At 42.1% G+C, this 21,989-nt stretch overlaps 1 protein-coding gene across 8 annotated transcripts in view; it reads right to left on the bottom strand.

The window, feature by feature from the left end:
- Positions 1-21,897, bottom strand: part of GSTO2 (glutathione S-transferase omega 2) — a 35,767-nt gene extending 13,870 nt beyond the window's left edge. Inside the window, exons 1-6 of one of the 8 annotated variants that reach the window (XM_011539272.4) lie at positions 16,132-16,185; positions 15,747-15,855; positions 12,965-13,187; positions 11,610-11,711; positions 5,091-5,146; positions 16-2,698 (exon numbers count right to left, since the gene is read on the bottom strand). In XM_011539272.4, the coding sequence (XP_011537574.1) occupies positions 5,114-5,146; positions 11,610-11,711; positions 12,965-13,187; positions 15,747-15,855; positions 16,132-16,165 (501 nt within the window). In that variant the 5' untranslated portion in view covers positions 16,166-16,185 and the 3' untranslated portion in view covers positions 16-2,698; positions 5,091-5,113. Of the gene's footprint in view, positions 1-15; positions 2,699-5,090; positions 5,147-11,609; positions 11,712-12,964; positions 13,188-15,746; positions 15,916-16,131; positions 16,397-21,811 lie in introns of those variants that run through there. The other 7 variants (NM_183239.2, XM_017015671.2, NM_001191013.2 and 4 more) reach the window with 7 other exon arrangements.

Genomic DNA, 21,989 nt, shown 5'->3' with positions numbered 1-21,989 from the left:
GGAAAAGTACTCAACTCCAGGGCAGAAATCTTTTATTAATTTTATTTTTCGTGGGCACATAGTAGGTGTATATATTTATGGGGTACATATTTTGGTCCAGGCATGCAGTATGCAATAAGCACATCATGGAGAATGGGGTATCCACTCCCCCAAGCATTTATCCTTTCAATTACAAACAACCCAATTACACTGTTTAAGTTATTTTTAAATGTGCAATTAAGTTATTATTTACTATAGTCACCATGTGGTGCTATCAGATAGTAGGTCTTATTCATTCTTTCTGTTTTTTGTACCCATTAACCATCCCCACCTCCCTGCCAGCTCACACTACCCTTCCTAGCCTCTGCAAACTATCCTTCTACTCTCTGTGTTCATGAGTTCAATTGTTTTGATTTTTAGATTCCACAAATAAGTGAGAACATGTGATGTTTGTCTTTCTGTGCCTGGCTTGTTTCACTTAACATGATCTCCAGTTCCATCCATGTTGCTGCAAATGACAGGATCTCATTCTTTTCATGGCCAAATAGTACTCCATTGTGTATATGTACTATATTTTCTTTTTTCTTTTTTTTTTTTGAGACAGAGTGTGACTCTGTCACCCAAGTTGGAGTGCAGTGGTGTGATCTCAGCTCACTGCAACCTCTGCCTCCCAGATTCAAGCAATTCTCCTGCCTCAGCCTCCTGAGTAGCTGGGATTCCAGGCATGCACTACCATGCCAGCTAATTTTTGTATTTTCAGTAGAGACAGGGTTTCACCATGTTGGCCAGGCTGGTCTCGAACTCCTGACCTTAAGTGATCCGCTAGCCTTGGCCTCCCAAAGTACTGGGATTACAGGAGTGAGCCACCACACCCGGCCTGTATCACATTTTCTTTATCCATTCCTTATTCGTGCACACTTAGGTTGCTTTCAAATCTTAGCTATTGTAAACAGTGCTGCAACAAACATAAGGGTCCAGGTATCTCTTTGATATACTGATTTCCTTTCTTTTGGGTGTGTACCCAGCAGTGGGATTGCTGGATCATATGGTAGCTCAATTTTTAGTGTTTTGAGGAACCTCCAAACTGTTCTCCACAATGGTTATACTAATTAACATTCCCGCCCCAGTGAACGAGGGTTCCCTTTTCTCCACATCCTCACCAGTATTCGTTATTGCCTGTCTTTTGGATGTAAGCCATTTTAACTGGGGTGAGATGATATCTCATTGTAGTTTTGATTTGCCTTTCTCTGATGATCAATGATGCTGAGCACCTTTTCATATGTCTGTTTGCCATTTGTGTGTCTTCTTTTGAGAAATGTCTATTCAAGTCTTTTGGAGGGCAGAAATGTTTTGAGCTCATAAAAGATAAATGGAGGTTCTTAAGATTTCAAATCTCAGATCCCTGCTAAAATGATATAGCTGAGGCTGAGCTAACCATGTGATGACCCAGTTCCCTGTAAAACAAACCTAGGGTGTGGAACAAACCTAGGGCATATTTAAGACCATTTTCTCCTCTGGGAAGGAGCCTTAGAGGGAGGACCTGCAGCAGAACATGCCCCTCCTGCTGCCCATCAGTTATGACCTAGATTCTCCATGAAGGTGCAGAATACAACTGTCAAAATTTGGGGATTAAAGGACCACTCTGAAAATTCTATGCTGGCATCCTTTTAATGAGCTTAATTCGTATCTTCAAAATATATTTGTAGGGCTGGGTGTGGTGGCTCACACCTTTTATCCTAGTACTTTGGGAGACCAAGGTGGAAGGATCGCTTCAGCCCAGAAGTTCGAGACCAGTCTGGGCAACATGGCAAAATCCCATCTCTACAAAAAATACACAAAATTAGCCAGGCATAGTGGTGCCTGTAGTCCTAGACACTCAGGAGGCTAAGGTAGGAAGATCACCTGAGCCTGAGAGGTCGAGGCTGCAGTGAGCCATGATCATGCCACTGCACTCCAGCCTGAGTGACAGAGTGAGACCCTGTCTCAAAAACAAAAAACAAAAACTAAAACAAATCACAATATATTTGTAAGATAGTGTGGGGGGAAAAGCTAGGAGGGTAATGCTTGACCAGTCAAATGTCTGTAAAGTGATTGGTGGTAGATGAAAATATAAATGAATATTTATCAAGTCTCTGAAGTGGGGAGAGGACTTCCTACACATAAAACAGTGGAGGAAATCATAGCACATATAAGGAAAGCCTTATAGCACAATACTTTCAAATGCTGTACTTCCATATGCAAAAATATATAAGCCAAATTAAAAGTCAAAAGAAAACAAAAATGTGTTTTAAAACCAGTCAAATATCTTTTCTATACAAGGAACGCTTTAAAAGGAACTTTTACAAATCAACAAAGAAAATTAGTAAGACTCTGATGGCCAGATAGGCAAAGCCCCTGAACTGAACAGACAAATTTTGCAAGACCAGGAGCAAGGGATGACATACTTCCGGGAAAACCTTCCACTTCCCTGGCCATCAAAGAAATATGCATTAAGTCAACAATGAGGAACTACAGTGTATCTCCACAGCAAATATTATTCAACAAACAAATATCTTTTTGAATGAAGTCTCCCACCAGTGAAAAGGATATAGGGCAAAGAGCATTTTCACATACTGCTGGTGAGGGGCAAACAACACAAGTCTTTTGGGAAGCAATTTAGTGAAATACAGTCCAAGCCTCCAATGTGCTCATTATACCCTTTGATCTGGTAATTCCATTCCTGAGAGTCCAGCTTAAGAACATATTCTAAAATAGAGAAAATGCTTTTTATGCAAAGAAGCTGATGTTCCCTGCAGCACCATTCAAAACAGTAAAGGACTGAAAACCATCTAAACACTCCTAATTAGTGTGCTGGATAAATAACTTTATGGTTTATAAACATGGCAAAGTATGCAGACATTAAAAGTGTTTTCGGCCGGGTGAGGTGGCTCACGCCTGTAATCCCAGCACTTTGGGAGGCCGAGGCAGATGGATCACAAGGTCAGGAGATGGAGACCATCCTGGCTAACACAGTGAAACCCCATCTCTACTAAAAATACAAAAAGAAATTAGCCGGGCGTGGTGGCGGGTGCCTGTAGTCCCAGCTACTTGGGAGGCTGAGGCAGGAGAATGGCATGAACCTGGGAGGTGGAGCTCGCAGTGAGCCGAGATAGCACCACTACACTCCAGCCTGGGCGACAGAGCGAGACTCCGTCCCAAAAAAAAAAAAAAAAAAGTGTTTTTTTCTACTTTTAAAACTTACATATTTAATACAGAAATACATTCCCATCATTAAAAAAAAAATCAAACACAGAAAATAATGTAAAAGACAAAATCTTCCCTCCCGGTCCCTGCCCTTAACCACTTTTCTTACCCACCCTAATTCTAATCAGCCCCCTTCCCAGTGTGAGACATTACTAGGAGGTGGATGTGTTTCTCTCTAGATACTTTTCTAGCCACTTATTTACATGTATGTGCACACCTGCATGGTTCAGTTTTGTTTTCTTCTGCTAAAATGGGATCATACCACCTGTATTACTGTGTGATTCATTTAATATTTCTAGGCAATCTTTTAATGTCAGTACACATAGATTTACCTCATTCATTTTCAGCCGTTCCACAGAATTCCACAAGACAGACATGATTTACTTAACCACTCACCATCTAATGAATATTGTTTCCTAATTTGTCATCATCACAAATAATGCTGCTGCTCTAAGGAACACTCTTATATATGTAAATAAGCATTTACAGAGTTTATAAAAATTGGCCAGGTGTGGTGGCTCACACCTGTAATGCCAACATTTTGGAAGGCAAAGACAAGTGGGTCACTTGAGCCCAGGAGTTCGACACCAGCCTGGGCAACAGAGGGAGACCCTGTCTCTACAAAAGTTAAAAAGAAAACTAGCTAGGCATGGTGGCACATGCCTGTAGTCCCAGCTACTCAGGAGACTGAGTTGGGAGGCTCCCTTGAGCTCAGGAGTTCAAGGTTGCAGTGAGGCGTGATTGCACCCTGCATTCCAGCCTGGGCAACAGAGTAAAACCCTGTCTCAAAATAAAATGGCAGGGGGTGTGGGGAATATTTACATCATAATAGTAACCAAGTTTCAACTACATAAAATATACATAGCAGAAAAGGACAGAAAACAAAAACAAAAAAGTCCCCAAGATAATAACAGTGGTTGTTTCTGGGTAGTGGGATTATAATTTTTTTTCCTTAGTTTCTATGTTTTCCTGTATTTTCCAAATTCTCTCTAATGAACAAGTATTACTTTATAATTGGAGAAGAGTAAAATTAATTTTTAAATAATAAGAATAATTATTATTCTATTATTTATGTGATGGGAAAGGGTATATCAGAAAGCTATTGAAAGAAGTACAGCAAATATTAGCAGCTGTCAGAATTGGATGATGAAGGAAGTAACCCAACTAGCAACAGCACTAATACACTTAACGAGGCATCCTGAGTCAGGGATAATCAGTTCCCAAGTGTGAAAGAATGGTGGTTACAACTAAAATGGCATGTTAGTAAACATGCTAAATCAGCTAGCAAATCCAAGAGAAATAACAACGTATATTCATGCAAAAACCTGCATGGTGTTCACAGCAACATTATCCATATTAGTTCCAAGAGTGGAACCTTCCCAGATGTGGATAAACAAAATGTGCGTATTCACACATGGAATATTATTTAGCCATAAAAAAGAATGAAGGATGAACCTTAAGAACATTATGGTATGTGAAAATAGCTCATGAAATGCTACATGTTGTATGATTCCACTTATATGAAGTGTCTAGAATAAGTCAATCCATAGAGACAGAAAGCAGATCAGTGGCTGCGTACAGCCACAGGGATTGAGAAGAAATGGAAAATGACAGCTTACAAGTGAGCAGTTTTTCTGGGGGATGATAAAAAAAACGCTCTGAAATTAAATACTGGTGATAGTTGCACAACTCACTTAATATACTAAAAGCCAGTGAATTGTACACTGGAAAAGGGTGAATTTTGTGGCATATGAATTATATCTCAATAACTTATTAAAAATAGCTAGTAATAATGAATTTAGTTTATAGACATGTTAACTTAGATGATAAAAAATTTAGCTTGTAGTCTACTATATATAAAAGGATACAGAAAATTGTTTTCAGTGACGAATTAACCAGGTATAAACTTTCTTTTCTTCCTATCCTGGTGATATCAAAGGAGAAACAATTAAACAATATATAAATAATTTCATCACTGGAAATTAATAAAAATTAAGAAAGAGCAAAAGCAAAACTAAACCAAGACAATATAATCTAACTTGAATAAATGTCTTTTTTGATGAGAAGAAAGAACAGTTTAAAAATTAAGATTACCAGGTGCAGTGGCTCATGCCTGTAATCATAGCACTTTGGGAGGCTGAAGTGGGAGAATCACTTGAGCCTAGGAGTTCAAGACCAGCCTGAGCAACATAGTGAGACCTCGTCTCCACAAAAAATTAAAACAAATAAAAACAAAAACAAAACAGTTGGGCATGGTGGCCTGAACCTGTGGTCCCAGCTACTCAGGAGGTTGAGGTGAGAGAATCACTTGAGCCCAGGAGGCTGAGGCTGCAGTGAGCCGTGATTGTGTCACTGCACTCCAATGTGGGTGACAGAGTGCGACCCTGACTCAAAAAAATAATTATAATAATAATTAAGATAACGGAGGCAGGCTCGGTGGCTTCAGCCTGTAATCCCAGCTACTCGGGAGGCTGAGGTGGAAGTACTGCTTGAGCCCAGGAGCTCAAGACGACAGTGAGCCATGACTGTGCCACTGCACTCCAACCTGGGCAATAGAGAGAGACCCCAATCTCTAAAAGAGGAAAAGAAAATAAAATAATTAAAAAATTAAGATTATGGGCAAAATTTAGAATCAATAAAGTATTTAACTACAGATGCTCCTGGGTGATGCACACATAATTTATGCAAATTCCACCTCATGCAAACTGCTACACATAAGGCACATGATCAAGTTTGGCAATGCGGGAAACTCTGCGTGGAAATGCAAAGTGAAGCACCCCAAGGCAGGTGGTTGAATGACAAGAAGCAAAACCATAAAGTGCCCTGTGGCCACGGGCAGACGAAGGCTTCAGTTGCTGGGCCATGTCTCATCCCTCAGGGCTATTTCAGCATTATTTATGTTATCCCCTCCCCGCTCTCTTTTATGGAGCTCTGATGATGACGAAGAAAGGACCAAGCAATAGTCAGAGTGCAGAACCAATTCAGAAGCCACGAACACTTTCTAGATTTAAAGCAAAACTCCAAAGCCTCAAGGAAATCTGACCAAATCCACCTTTCACTGCACTTGGACTTGATTTGACTACTTCCATAATGAAAATATTTTTGGAAGGCACAGATAAAAAGTGACACCAAGAGGTCCTGCCACATTCAAATCCACAAAGATCAAATGAAGCCTGGCTCAAGTCCCATTCTGAAATGGGAAAGTCAATACCTGAAAAAGAATAAAACTAAAAAATGTGTGCTGCTTAGAGTAATGATTCAGTAAGGGCTAGAAAATCTGCTTGAAGACATAAAGTGCAGCAAGACAAGACAAGTGTCATAGTTTTAAAACTCATGCCAATGTTCAGAACAGGAAAGCCAGTGAGCAGGCTGCTAGTTTGATAATAAAAGTGGCAGTAATATATCTCAAAGAATTGTAAAAGATATTAGAGAAAAATGTGGTTATATAACAAGCACAATAAATCTTTGATTTTGATGGAACTTAATTTTTTTTTTCTTGGAGACAAAGTCTCACTCTGTCACCCAGGCTGGAGTACAGTGGCATGATCATAGCTCACTGCAGCCTTGACCTCCTGGACTCAAGTGATCCTCCCACCTCAGCCTCCCAAGTAGCAGGGACCACGGGTATGCATCACCACATCCAACTAATTTTTGTATTTTTTGTAGAGATAAGGTTTTGCCATGTTGTACAGTCTTGTCTCGGACTCCTGGATTAAAATGATCTGCCCGCCTCGGCCTCCCAAAGTGCTGGGATTGCAGGCATGAGCCACTGAACCCACCTGAAACTAGATTTAAAAAACTAACAAGCAAACAAAAAAACAAGCCAAAAAAAAAAAAAAACTTAAAAAGTTAGACAAGGCAGTTATTTCAAAAGAAGAAAGTGTCAGAGTTTAAGGCCACAAAAGGTTAACTGAGCCTTCTGTTTCAGGATAACATAGCAGAAGATTATGCATGAAATCTTGGCTTGCTTATCACTCAGAAAGACAATGAGTATTTAATATATTTTTAGCTCACAAAAAATCCTGATTGTGCAAAACCATGTGAAAGAGTTACATAAATCAGGGGATCCTCTCCATTAGAATTATTCTGATAAATTTCAATTTCACTAGAATCTCCTGGAATAAATATTTTGGCATTTAAAGGAACAGATCGCATAATTCAAGTACATTGGTCATGTTTTCAGATTTCAATATTTCCTACATTGTAGTTATAATTCTTTGTTTATTTGTTTTTGAGACAGAGTCTTGCTGTGTCACCCAGGCTGGAGTACAGTGGCACGATCATAGCTCATTGCAAGCTCAAACTCCTGGGTTCAAAAGATGCTCCCGCCTCAGCCTCCAGAGAAGGTGGGACTACAGACCCGCACTGCCATGACCAGTTCATGTTTTAATTTTTAGTAGAAACATAGTCTCACTGTGTTGCCCAGGCTGGTCTTGAACTCCTGGCCTCAGGTGATCCTCCCTCCTTGGCCTCCCAAAGTGCCTGGATTACAAGTGTGAGCCACCACGCCCAGCCATAGCTACAATTCTTGCTAACATTCTATGGGACAAAACCACATTCAAACCTGTTAGGACAATGTGGAGTACTCAGTGGTCCTTAAATAGCATCAGTGAAAGCTACCTACACCGAGGCTGGTTAGTGAAAGCTACCTATATAGAGGCTGGTTAACAACAGTGTTCCTGGGGCTCAGTTATTGAAGATAAAGTGAAATTTCTTATTCAGTGACATGCTGGAGCTGCCCACATCTTTTGCCAGCTCTTGAGTTTAGAAATAGCACATTGGTAGCTCAAAATTAACCTTGACGGAAGTGTTTACACCACCCAAATCAGCAAATGCTATAAATCCGTGCTTTTTCTTTTTCTTTCTCTTTTAAGAGAAAATTGATTCTTAAACATTTATCACCACCCCACTAATGACATTCCTAAACTCTCTGGTGAAAGCTCCTAGCCCATAAAACCATTCCAAAGGTCCAGTAGAGACCATACATTGTTCTTCTAAGCTCTGCCCGCATATGAATATCCCATCAACACCACAAATTTGACAAAATGTGTCTTCCCTCAAACTCTTAGTGAAAAGCATCACATTTACCGGCCACAAACTTGGAAACCATCCTCCATAACTCCTACTCCTTCCTCAGATTTCATCTCATCTTAGTTCCTCAAAATCTCTCTAATTAAACCTCCCTCTCCAACCCTCGTTAGTGGGGTCCTCTTTGTCCCTTCCCAGTCCCTCCTCTTGGACACTCTAATCCATCCTCTACATTCTTGCTGGGCTGAACTTCTTCTTCTTCTTTTTTTTTTTTTTTGAGATAGGGTTTCACTGTGTTGTCCAGGCTGGAGTGCAGTGGTGCAATTATAGCTCACTGCAGCTTCAACCTCCTAGGCTCCAGTGATCCTCTCATCTCAGCCTCCCAAGTACCTAGGACTACAGGCATAAGCCACCATGCCAAGCTAACATTTTGTATTTTTTAAAGAGATGGAGGTTTGCCATGTTGACCAGGGTGTTCTCAAACTTCTGGGCTCAAGCGATCCTACCGTCTTGGCTTCTCAAAGTGCTGGGATTACAGACATGAGCCACTGTGCTCAGCTGGGCTGAATACTTTTTCTTTTCTTTTCTTTTTTTTTTTTTTTTTTGAAACAGAGTCTCACTCTGTTGCCCAGGCTGGAGTGCAGTGGCGCAGTCTTGGCTCACAGCAACCTCCCCCTCCTGGGTTCAAGTGATGGACTGAATACTTTTAAAAGCATGAAGGAGTACACCACTCTCCTGCTTGACAGGCTTCAATTACTCACCATCAACTCTGAAATAAAGTGCAAATCCCTGGGCACAGTGGAAAAGGCCTTTTAGCATCTGACTCTGGTCCACCCTCCACATTCACCTCTTACCAATCACTCCCTCGCTGTCAACCCCTCACTGATTATTGTTTGCCGAACACACCAGGCTCTCACCCTTGTGCCTCTAATTCATCCTAAGAGTCAACAGAGGCATTATCTACCCCCACAGACCAGCCTTCTTGTATGCATGTCTCCAGCCTAGCACTCAACACACCCAGGTTTTAAATGGGCTTAACAGCCTATCTCCCTGTCCAGGCTTTGAGCCCCTCGAGGGTCTTTAATTTCTTTTTATTCCTAGTACCTAGTTCTGAGCCTTTACAGAGAGGCCACTCCAATTTGCAAAACAGGACTAGTACCATTTGTACCTGAGAAGGTTGTTGGAAAGATTGAATGAGATGATGTATGCAAGTATCTGCAGCACGATTCATGGCACAAAATACTGGTTCATTTGCCCTGGAAAAGACCCCCGACTGAAGAAGAACTGTATCTCCATCATAACCCTATACTTTCATCTAGCAATCTGTAATTTAAAAAGTTCATCCATCATCCAAATGGAGGTAGAAGGGAAACTGATGAAAATGTTTCAATTACTGTATCGTTGAATTCAAAGAGTTTTTTTTTTCCCAGCTCCTTTCCCTGGTCCAGTATTTGTTTATCTGTGAGAAGGTAACCAGGCATGATGGGGTCCATTCAGCTGATCTTTAAAATAGACTATAAATTCTCTATTCACAAGATTTTCGAACTTCTTTTTTAAAGCAGCAGCTCTCCTCTCTCCCCAAATGCCATCTTCTTAGATGTCAGGTTGAACATGGTGGTTGAAGGCAGTGCTGACCTAAGTAAAGCAGTGTCTAGAACAATCTACCAGGCCTCCACTCACTGGGCAGTCCCCTGCAGAACCCAGAGGCTCTGAGGAACACACATTTCAAAATAATCCCTCATTTTACACATGGGAAAACCAAGGCCCAGAGAGGTACAGAACATTGCCCAAGGTTCTGGAATTCAGTAAAGCCAAGCCTAAGATCCAAGATTCTTTCCACCACATCATATGGCCTCCTTGGAGTCAAGGCCACAGTTGGTGACCTCAGGACAAAAGGTTGACATTTCCTACACATGACCATTCGTCATCCATAAATACTTAATCGTACAAATTTGAGATAGGCAACTGGAAATATCAATACATTTAATCTGTTTCCACTTGATAAAGGTCAAATGGAAGAGTATTAATAACCAGTCTTCCCTTAAGGGGAAAAAAATTGTATTCTCTGGCTGCCAATAGAGGAACCACCCACCCATAAGGTGAATTTGTCAGTTTCTGGAGCAAAAATAAAGGAAGTAAAAGAACTGCCTTCCTGATTATTCTAGAAGTACAGGATAAGTAGCTCCATTACTGCCAGGTTAATGAAGCATCTACTGGCAAAGAGTATTCCTGCCACCGCACCCATTTCCCCCTTCTTCCTTAATTACAGACCTCTGATTTTATTCAGGGTATCCCAGCTAAAAGACTGTATTTCCCAGCTTTCTCTAAGATAGTTATGACCCCACAACTAAGTTCTGGCCAACGAAATGTAAATAGCCATTGAGTAGAATTTCTGGTAGGATTTAAAGCCCTTTAAAGGGGTATGACCATTTGCCATTTTTTTCTTTATATTCTCCTTTTCAGAGCCTGGAACTTGGATGTGATGGCTGCAGTGACAGCAGCTATCTTGTTATTTTGAGGATGATACCCTTGTACTAAGTTGTGCTAAGGATGACAGAGCCCATAAAGAGAAAAAGCTTCAGTTCCTGATAATGTCATGAAGAAGCCATCAAGATAGGCCTGAACTGCCTACCTCTGGCTTTTTTTTTTTTTTTTTTTTTTTTTTGTCAGTCCTACTTACTCTGTCACCCAGGCTAGAGTGCAGTGGTGCAATCATGGCTCACTGCAGCTTTGACCTCCCAGACTCAAGCAATCCTCCTGCCTCAGCCTCCTAAGTAGCTGGGACTACAGGTATACATCGTTATGCCTGGCTAATTTTTAAAATTATTTTTGTAGAGGAGGGGTCTTGCTATGTTGCCTAGGCTGGTCTTAAACTTCTAGGCTCAAGTGATCCTCCTGCTTCAGCCTCCCCAAGTGCTGGGATCACAGGTGTGAGCCACCGTATGTGTGAGAATAAACCCTTATAATACGTGAGAAAGAATGTTATGTGAGAGAGTAAACCCTTACAACATGAATTTACAGTAGTTAGACTTCAGCAGCCAAACACAACCCCTAACCTTTACAGACCTTGACCTCATTGGCAGAAGCTACAGAAGCCATGCAGAGCTACTCAGGGAGATGGGGTGACTCTGGGAAAGGAAGCAATTCATGGCATGTCCTCCCCAACTCCTCATCAGATTTTCCAGAATAATTCTAGACCAGGTTAGAGGAGGGCAAACATGCAATCAGATGATCAGAAGTCTGACTTATCAAAGGCAGAAAGAATAAGCCTGTGAAAGCTGGTGTTAGAGTGACCAGGTTAGCGACCCTGCCTAGCTTCCTCCACTGTAGCTGACCAGGAGAGGGACCCCTTTTTGTACCTCTTCCAGGTTGCTGAATTCCTGACGCAGGGCTGCCTTCAGATTAGTGCATTCTCTCCCACATCTCAACGCTACCAGGCACTCCTTGGTCAAATGTGGGACCTAATCAGAGGACACAGGTTCTCAGTGGAGAAGTCTGTGGAAACTTCCAGTTCCTGTTCTGCCTGAAAAGGCAGCGAAGCTTTATAACTCCAGCCTAACAGGGCAACACCCACATCAGACCCCCCAGCTCCCTGTGAGAGGCACTAGGTTTTCTCTGTGGTTCCGGTTCTCAGTAGGAATCTACTTCTTATAGTACCCTGGGAAAGCAGGGTGCTTTAGGAGGGTTTCTCCAGTGCTCCTTACTTGATCAGCTGCTTCCATGCTATACATTCTTAGGTGGGACACTCAACCTCTCTAAGCCTCAGTGTTCTCATCTGAAAAATGGATACGATAGCAGTACCCACTTCAAAGGGCAGTTGGATTAAATGAGTTAGCTCCTACAAAGTAACTAGGACAGTGCCTGGCACATCATAAGTGTTCGATATATGTCAGCTGTTAATATCATTGAGGTTTTTAAAAATTCCTTTTCAAAGACACCATCTTAAAATTTCTCCATTCTTTTTTCTTTCATTATCAAAGCTGCCACCATTTATCTATTCTTCACATTTCCTGGACAGCAGGCACTCTTATGCTTCTAAAGAGCATCACTGGCCAGGCACAGTGGCTCACGTCTGTAATCCTAGCACTTTGGGAGGCCGAGGCAGGCAGATCACTTGAGGTCAGGAGTTCAAGACCAGCCTGGCCAATATGGTGAAACCCCATCTCTACTAAAAATACAACAATTAGGGGGTGTGGTGGCATGCGCCTGTAATCCCAGCTACTCAGGAGGCTGAGGCAGGAAAATTGCTTAAACCCAGGTGGCAGAGGTTGCAGTGAGCCGAGATGGTGCCACTGCACTCCAGCCTGGGTGACAGAGCGAGACTCCGTCTCAAAAAAAAAATAATAAAAAAGCATCACCTTCTATGCATAATCTTCGCACTCCATTACTTTTTACCTGAAGCTGGAGAAATACTCCCTTTAAGGATCACCAGTTTTCAGTTCTTTCAGTATTCCTGCTTCAAGTTACACGGTCATTGCCATGTCATAACCATACCTCCTGAGCCTGCCAGTTGAAATGGAGAAGCGCCTAGCAGTTAAGCCTTTAATATCAGTGGCCATGCTCTACCCTAATTCCATGCTAGCTAATCTCCTGAGGATCACATGGTATCAAAACAAAACAGTTTCACCAATGATTTGGCTTTAAAATGGGTTGAGGTTTGGGAAAGACATGCAAAGTAAAATACAGTGTGAGTGACTTTTTAAATTGAATATACCTTACAAAATAGCTCCAATAACATCTTTTGGCGAGCTCGTTCATAAGGGTCATATGGAAACAGCTTCCTTCCTGGATAAGCATCATCCAGGTACTCACAAGCAATAACAGATTCATAGATCAGTTGACATTGGCTGGTCTCCAGGACAGGAATGTGGCCAAAAGGGTGCTTTGTATAGTACCATTCAGGCTTGTTTCTCAGGTTAATGTTGACCACTTCATGTCTTAAAAAGCAAAAGGAAAACAAGACAGAACAAAAATGAGAGGCATCTGCAGGCAGGCACTCTTCTTGAAAGCAGAAGCAATCAGTTTAAAAGTTAAAATTTGCAATTAGTGTTTTAAGGTTTAAGTTTTGTATAAAATACATAACATCATCATCTTCCTTCCTGCAGTAAGATGTGTCGGATGTTTTCCATGCCTTATCTCAGTTGTTCCTCATAATTCCCCCTGAAGTAGGCTCACCTCATAGGAAAGAAGACTCAAGGGGGTTGAATCTCACACCCAATACCACCCACTAAGAAGTAGTAGAGCTGGCCGGGCGCGGTGCCTCACACCTGTAATCCCAGCACTTTGGGAGGCTGGGGCGGGCAGATCATCTGAGGTCAGGAATTCAAGACCTGCCTGGCCAACATGGCAAAACCCCATCTCTACTAAAAAATACAAAAAAGTAGCCAGGCATGGTGGCGGGCGCCTGTAACCCCAGCTACTTGGGAGACTGAGGCAGGAGAATTGCTTGAACCCGGGAGGTGGAGGTTGCAGTGAGCTGAGATTACACCACTGTACTCCAGCCTGGGCAAGAAACTCCATCTAAAAAAAAAAAAAAGTAGTAGAGCCAAGATCACAGCCAGGCAGACAGACTCAGAGCTCACACACTTAACCATGGCATTAGAGAGTTTAGTACATTCTACAGCTTGAAAATACAAATCTGGTATTAACAGGTCACAACAGAATATGGTAAATGTTAACAATTAAGAGTATGAGTTTTGGCATCAGAATAAACGGTCTAGCTTGGGACCTTAACCGAATTCCTAACCTCTCTGTGCTCAGTGTCCTTAATTATAAAATGGGGCTAATAATTACACCCATCTCTTGGTACTGTGGTGGGGATATGTATAAAGTGTTTAGGACAGTGCCTGGCACATAAGCATGCAATAACTTTTTTAATTCTTCTTCTAATTATTAGATGTTCAAATAATACTATTATTATTTAATGTTCACATAATACAATTATTATTTAGATAACTATATAGTTACCAGAAGCATGAACGTATGTTTAAAAACATGAAAGGAAACAAATGGGAACGTTCATTGCTTAGTCTAGGAGATTGTCTTAAACCTACAGCAGAGGCTGGATGAGGTGGCTCACACCTGTAATCTCAGCACTTTGAGAGGCCAGGGTGGGAGGATTGCTTGAGCCCAAGATTTCGAGACCAGCATAGGCCACATAGCAAGACCTAAAGCAGTGGGTCTCAACCTAAAGCAATGGGTCTCGACTAGAAGTGATTTTTGGCCTCCTTCCCAAGGGACATATCACTATGTCTGGAGACATGGTTTTGTTGTCACAACTGAAGGTAGTGCATAGGGAAGGGGGACTCTACTGTCATTGAATGGGTAGAGACCAAGGATACTGCTAAACATCCAGTGATGGACAGGACAGCTTCTATCCCACCTCTCCAACAAAGAATTATCTGGCCTAAACTGTCAACAGTGCCAAGTTTGAGAAACGCTGACCTAAGGAAATACATCAGCTCCTAAGCTGATAATTTATCACCAAATGGGCAAAACATCCAGTTGTTGTTATTTTCCTCAAAAAACAGGTAACCTTAAGGTCAGCTTAATTTGAGCAAAAGGGAAGAATGTGGAAATACAGGCCCTATATACTCAACAAGGCAGATTTACATAATTTTATTTAAAACATCTCTGTATTAGTCTTTGTATCTCTCTGACATGAGTCTGAAACTCTGAAGTCACCCCCTTGTGATGGACTCTCCGAGACAAGAGTCGGGAGCCTGGAGTGACATATTCTCAACACTCTAGCTTGGAGGCCAGCTGCATTATGCAGTCCACATCCCAGCAAAGCTGCTCTGCCCTCCAAATCCAGACCTGCAGGAGCTGGTTTTGCAAACTTCCTTTTGGAAGCATCTGTACCCATTTCTCAAGTTTTCAAGGTGTCTTGAAAACTTCCAGACACCTCTTGATAGCAATTCCTTCTATTTCATTGTTTGGAAAGATTTGTTCATTCATTTAACAGATGTTTTTTGAGCATCCACTATGTGACAGGCTCTCTCCTAGCTCATGAATAAAAGAGACAGAGTTCCTACCCTCGAGAACGCACATGGGTGAAGGGGACTGGGGAGGGGAGATGGATGAACAAATAAGAAAATGCTGGATGCAGTAAGTTCAATAAAGAAAGGAAACAGTGACCTAAGATGCCTGGGGTGTGGTGGGGGAACTACCTCTGTGGAGCAGTCAGGTAAGGCCTCAGTAGTGTTGGCTGTGCCCTTAAACATTCTGGGAGGGAACCAGTTCACCAGCCCCATCATTCACATTACTCTGCGCTGGGCTAGAAGTTTCATGCATAGGCGTGACTCGGAAAAGGGCTCCGCATTTCAGTAGGGCCCGCTAAAAAAAAGCTCGCCCTTTGCTATTTGTTGACTTTGCCTCCGAAAAAAGGGACAGGGAGCCCCTTGTAAAAGCTGAGCAGGGCGCCCCAGATGTTAAACATTCCCGGGCTCCTGTGAGGCGCTGGGTTTGCTCGGGGGCTCTGGGTTCCCGCTTCTCACCTGATGTCTTTGGCCTTGAGGACGAGGCGGGTCCTGTGAGAATAGGGGCAGAACCTCATGCTGTAGATGCGGATCAGCCCCTCCGGGACTGGCCCTGGGGGCTGGCTTCCTGCAGAGCAGCGATGGAGGGGGACAGGGAAAGGAGAGGCTAGTCAGCCCGGTGAGGAAGGAGCTCGCTCACTTGCCCAGATCCCAAGATGGCTGTGGGAGCTCCAACTCCCAAGTCCCAGAGAGGGCAGTGCTGCATGTGGCTTTTCTTCAGGAGAGCCCTCCAAGTCCCTTCCTGCCCCGCCGGTCTGCAGGCCAAGGCCAGGCAGCTCCGCCGAAGCCAACATTTTCTGTCACGCGGCGCCCCCAGCTCGCGGACCCCATGGAGAGCACTCACCTTTCCCCAGGGTCCTGGTCGCATCCCCAGACATGGTCTCCAGGTGGTTTGCGCAGCTCCCGGAGCTCACGGTCGCCGCCCTGTGGCTCGCCACCGCTGCCGCAGGCTCCAGAAACAGCTGCGCTCTGGCGCGCACCCCTTGCCCCAAATTTAATTTTTGAACTACTGGGCTCTGGCGGGGCACGGGGAAGCGATCTGGAGCAGGAGCTAGGGTAATTTAACCTGGGGAGACATCGCCCCAGATTTGGAAGCCCGAGAGTAGGAGCTGGCAAAAAACAAAACAAGACAAAATAACACCAGAAAAGCTCCCCCTTGCTCTGGACATGTGCTTAAAGCTTTGGAGGGGCCTCCTCTACATCAAGAATCCCTCAAGAATGGGCATTTAAACTCCAACATGGATTTCAAAGGAGTTTAATCAAAACTGACTAGGGTAAAGCTGACTTTTTTTTTCCCATTCTGAATCTCTTGCATCACTAAACTGGCCACTCTTTGGTAAGTAAGTACAGCTTTAAAAAATAATAAGGCCAAACATTCTCATGATACAGCAACTAGGAAAGAAAAAGTCATTGGTGTTGAAATCTCACATACCCCAGAGAGTGAGTGCCTCCTAGACACCTAGACAACTTTGGTGTCTAGACAACTCACATTTTGCACCCTAGACACCTCAGTTGCCTCATCCCAGTCCTGGCCCTACTTGTGAGATTTTACCCAAGCTCTGAAAAACTGGCAATGAATAAAATTAAGATACCTGGAGGCAAAGAACAATTTGTGAGCTTCCCCCGTTCCCCAGCATAAATTTTTGAGAACACTCTTACTAGTTGCCAAGGATACATTGCCAACAGCCCAGCCATATAGGGGCGACTTGCACAGCTTTTCTGTTTACGTGAGATAATAGACGTGGCTTTGGCTCTGATGCTGATAAGCTGAGATCCTGAATTTCAGCAGGTAAAAAAATAATTCCTTAAATTTTCCAGAATTGAGCTGATGTGGGAATTGCTTGTAAATGCATTTTGTAGGATTAACAGATCATGAAGGAAAGAAAAATATTTTCTGTGTCTCACTCATACTGACTAAATTATTTCCATAGATTACCTTGATTCCTACAATTGCTCAGTCAGGCAACTCATATTATTTCTACTTTTCAAAACAGAAAACAGCTTCAGAAAAATGAAATTATTTGCCCAAAGTGACCAGCTAGTAGGGTTGAAGAACTTTAAAAGTCCAAAGCTTGACTCGTTGTCTTGACCTTTAAAACTGGTAATAGTGTTAGGAGGAAAGGATTTTAAGTCCAGGAAAAGATATAGCACGTAATGGCTGCTCAACAAATAATACTTGAATCTAAATATCTTTTATTAAAATGACAGAGCCTAATTATGTAGCTTATAACTGGGTACTGTTTGGCCTTTGGAATTCCAGTCTATCCAGAACTTCTTGGTTAATAATAGTGTTAACATTTTTTGCTAGTGAATAAGAATCTTTGCAAATCTTCAGAATAGTGACTCAACTACATTTTTTGCTGTCATTCAATGATTTCATGTGAAATAAGCTTAGATAATAATATGGAAAGTATTAACATTTTATAAGAATCAGGGAATGGCAAAAATGTTTGAATAAATGTTCTCTGAAAATAAAATGCATATATGTCAGCAAGAAATCTGGTGTTGGAGAAGACATATTGGTTCCCGGCTTGCTACGCTGACAACTTTTCATTTAAGAAGACAGAGAAAGTAACAGAGTAACTTCTACTACTTTGGAGCTAATTCTGATCAAGAAGGACAAATTGGATGGTAAAATAGAAGCAAGAAACACAACCATGTCATCTTAGAGCTCCTGGTAGGTAAGATGACTTCTGGGCATACACATGCATCCCTCATATAAAAAAAGCAGATTTCAAGATAGTTGAGAAAAATATATCCATAGCCTAAAAAAGGCCATAAGAGGGTTGCAAAATCTCAAAATCAAAATAAATTATTACTAATATATATTTGGTGCTTCATGTGTATTGACCCAGTTAATTCTTAAAATAGTCCAATAACTGGGCCGGGTGCGGTGGCTCATGCCTGTAATCCCAGCACTTTGGGAGGCCGAGGCGGGCGGATCACGAGGTCAGGAGATTGAGGCCATCCTGGCTAACGTGGTGAAACCCCGTCTCTACTAAAAACACAAAAATTAGCCGGGCGCGGTGGCAGGCGCCTGTAGTCCCAGCTACTCAGGAGGCTGAGGCAGGAGAACGGCGTGAACCCGGGAGGCGGAGCTTGCTGTGAGCCGAGACTGCGCCACTGCACTCCAGCCTGGGCGACAGAGCGAGACTCCGTCTCAAAAAAAAAAAAAAAAAAAAAAAAAAAAAAAAAAAAAAAAAAAAGTCCCATAACTGTTCTATTTTGATTCACTTTAAAAGATGAGTAAACTGAGACTAGCATAGTTAAGCACTTCTCAACTAGTAAGTGAAAGAGGGAGGACTAGGAACCCTGGAAGTTTGACTCCAGCGGCAACAATCTCAACCAGTATCTTAGTCTTTATCAGATGCCATGAACTGAATGATTGGCAAATGTTTTTACATATATTAAATATTTCAGGCTTTTCAGGCCATCTGGTCTCCACTATTTAGTTCTACACTTGTAGTGTAAAAACAGCCATCGATGATAAATAAACAAATGGGTGTGGCTGTATTTATGGACACACTGAATTTGAACTGCATATATGTATTTTAATAGCCTTTTTTTAAAAAAAAGTTTTAGATTCACAGCAAAATTGAGCAGAAAATACACATTTCCCATATACCCTGTGCCCCCGCACATGCACAGTCTCTTCCACTATCAATATTCCAATCAGAGAGGTACATTTATTACAATCAATGAACCCACATTGACATATTATCACCCAACATCCATAGTTAATATATTAGGGCTCACTCTTGGTGAATTTCATATAATTTTCACATATCACGTTGTGACTGGTTTTTCTTTTTCAACCCTTTAAAAATGTAAAAAATCATTCTTAGATATTGAGCTATAAAAAAACCAACAATTGGTTGGATTTAGCCCAATGGCCTTAATTTGCCCATCCATGGTCTCTGGATAATGGCCAAACTGGGAATTCCATTTGTAAATTAAAAGGTTCCTGGATCCACCTTTCTACTTTGCCAGAAGAGGATGATTTTCCAAGTTTTGTTTTTTCATTCCCACCTTTTAAAAGAAACTAACTCTGAGAGTTGGGAAATGTTCATGAAAAGTGTATCTGTATGTGGGAAATCAAGTTCTGAAATGCCAAGTTAATTTGGTAGAGTTAGAAGACAGGGATGGAAGCTGTTCTCCTCTAAAGGGAAACAATCTAGTGTCAAGGTTCTCAGAACAGGCCCTGGAGCCCAATGGGCTGACTTTTTGAGACCCAGCTTTGGCACTTAGGCAAGCTATCTAACCTTTTTGGATTTCACTTTCCTCACCTGCAAAATGAGAACACCAATAATACCTACTTTATGAATTGTGAGTATCGAATCAAATAGTCCAGGGCATCGTCAGTATAGTAAGAGCTCAGTATACGTCAAAGTTAATGACAAACGCTAGTGAGTAAGAACACATTTTAAATAGCAGAGTGCATTCCAATTTTGTATCCACAAAGATGAAGCACACTGTGATTCGGCTTTGCCAAGCATATTAGAATTAAAGTTCAACTCACAATACTTATTTCACCAGTTACCAGTTTAATGCCAATTGAATGGGCTGAATGCTGCAGACTCCATTTCAGTAATGTGGTTTTTAATCTTACCTCTGAACACTATACTTTCCCTAGAAAGATTTTAACCTTAAGCTTATCCCTACTTTCTTTTGAATACCCAACAGGTACTTCTTTGAAATCCTCTTTGCAAACTTTCCTTCTATGTTATTTCATGTTTATACCTTTATTATACTGACCCACTCAATCATGAAACAAATTGTAAGTAGACCATATTAAACCTACTCCAAATCCATTTTCAGCCACCTGAAATATGATCGGATCTGCTTTGAAAATGTTTGGATCTTCGGTCATGGGTGATTAACGACTTAAGCCTTCTAGGAAAATAATGCCACCAAAGAAATAGCTTACACTCTATTTACATGCATTTGTTTTGAGAAGAGGAACTGTGGTTTGCATTCGGCAACTTTTCAAAATTTTTTGTCACGCCATCTCTTGATAGTAGCAGAAACTGGACTGGAGTACATTCCTCTTAATAAGTTAGAAGCCTAATTTATATGAAAGATTATATTACTGGGTGTTCCCTTATTGTCCAATGAGTTCAAAAAGTGAGATACGTTAGGTAAAAGGTTCTATTCTCAAATGTGCTTATATTCAGGAAAAATTTCATATTCCCAATTGGGAAATCAGGGTCAAATGAGGCTATCTTTTTAACTACTTGATTCTGCTTCCCTATCCCTATTTCTCTCTACAACTTGAGGAATCAAAGAAAAAAAAAACTTTTTAAATAAATATTTGGTATAATAACATTTGAATAAGTAAAGGCAAATTGTCAAGATCCTGAAATCAGGAAAAGTCAAATAATTTGTAAAATCAAAACCACTGAGTTTGGAAAAGGAACATTATTAACTCATTAACTCCTGTTAAATCCCACGAATAATGGTGTGGTCAAAAAGGCAGATACAGGCCGGGCGCGGTGGCTCACGCCTGTAATCCCAGCGATTTGGGAGGCTGAGGCGGGCGGATCACGAGGTCAAGAGATCGAGACCATCCTGGCTAACACGGTGAAACCCCGTCTCTACTAAAAATACAAAAAATTAGCCGGGCGCGGTGGCGGGCGCCTGTAGTCCCAGCTACTTGGGAGGCTGAGGCAGGAGAATGGCGTGAACCCGGGAGGCGGAGCTTGCAGTGAGCCGAGATCGCGCCACTGCAGTCCGGCCTGGGCAGAACAGCGAGACTCCGTCTCAAAAAAAAAAAAAAAAGGTAGATACTATCCTCTGTCAGAGCTGTTGGATAAAGAGACTGGAAAAATAGCACATATAAATTCATCTCACGAACGGTCTTACTGTAAGAGTTCAGGCTAGATTCGAATCTCTTCAATATTTATTAGCTGGGTGACCTTGGGCAAATGACAACAACTTTCGGGTGTTCTTATATGTAATTCGTAGCTAATAGTACCAGTACATTATGTGGTTTGCGAAGGTTTCATTCAGAAACTGGATGAGAAATATTGAATGCTTAGCATGTGTCTGATACATAGTAAGTGTTCAACATTAGCTATTATTATTTTATGATTATTTCAATGTAGCAGGGAAGACTTTTCACAGTTTTCACAAAGACAGCACATTCCCAGAAACCAAATTCCCCTGCTTGCCAGTGCCTTAAACACGTAAACACGTGGGACTCGTGGTGTCCCACGCAAGGCTGAGAACTGGTTATCTGGGGTGGTCTCTGCCTGTTTCCAGCCAAATCAGAAAAAATAAGAACACCTTAATTAAAGGTATGCGGTTTAAAGACCTGTTCTTTATTCTTAGGCTGCACTTTGTTGGATGTGAAATTCTTTGATGCAACAGTGGCCAAGGCTAAATAGGATTTCTCGTAAAGTGTTAGGCAAAAGTTAAAGTTGGCAAGCCTACTGTGGGCCCCGAAATTCGTGAAAACCCCAGGAAACAGAATTGACCTCAAACCCCTCTTCCCTTCCAATACAACGCAGGCCGAACGGACCCACCGGTGGCGGTGAGAGAGGTCCCGCGAGAGACCTCCGGGAACTCGGGCAACCGGACCAGGATTGGCGGCGGCAGCAGCAGCAAGGAGGCGGGGCCTAGACGGGGCCTGCCCCTCGCACGTGATCCTACCCGCCAACTAGCCCCGGCGCCCAGAGCATCAGCCAATCCTCAAAGCTTTGG

This window comes from Homo sapiens, chromosome 10, assembly GCF_000001405.40.
Source record: "Homo sapiens chromosome 10, GRCh38.p14 Primary Assembly".
Classification (NCBI taxonomy): Eukaryota; Metazoa; Chordata; class Mammalia; order Primates; family Hominidae; genus Homo; species Homo sapiens.
The sequence above is the reverse complement of the archived record's forward strand: the minus strand, read 5'-3'. Positions and strand labels throughout refer to the sequence as shown.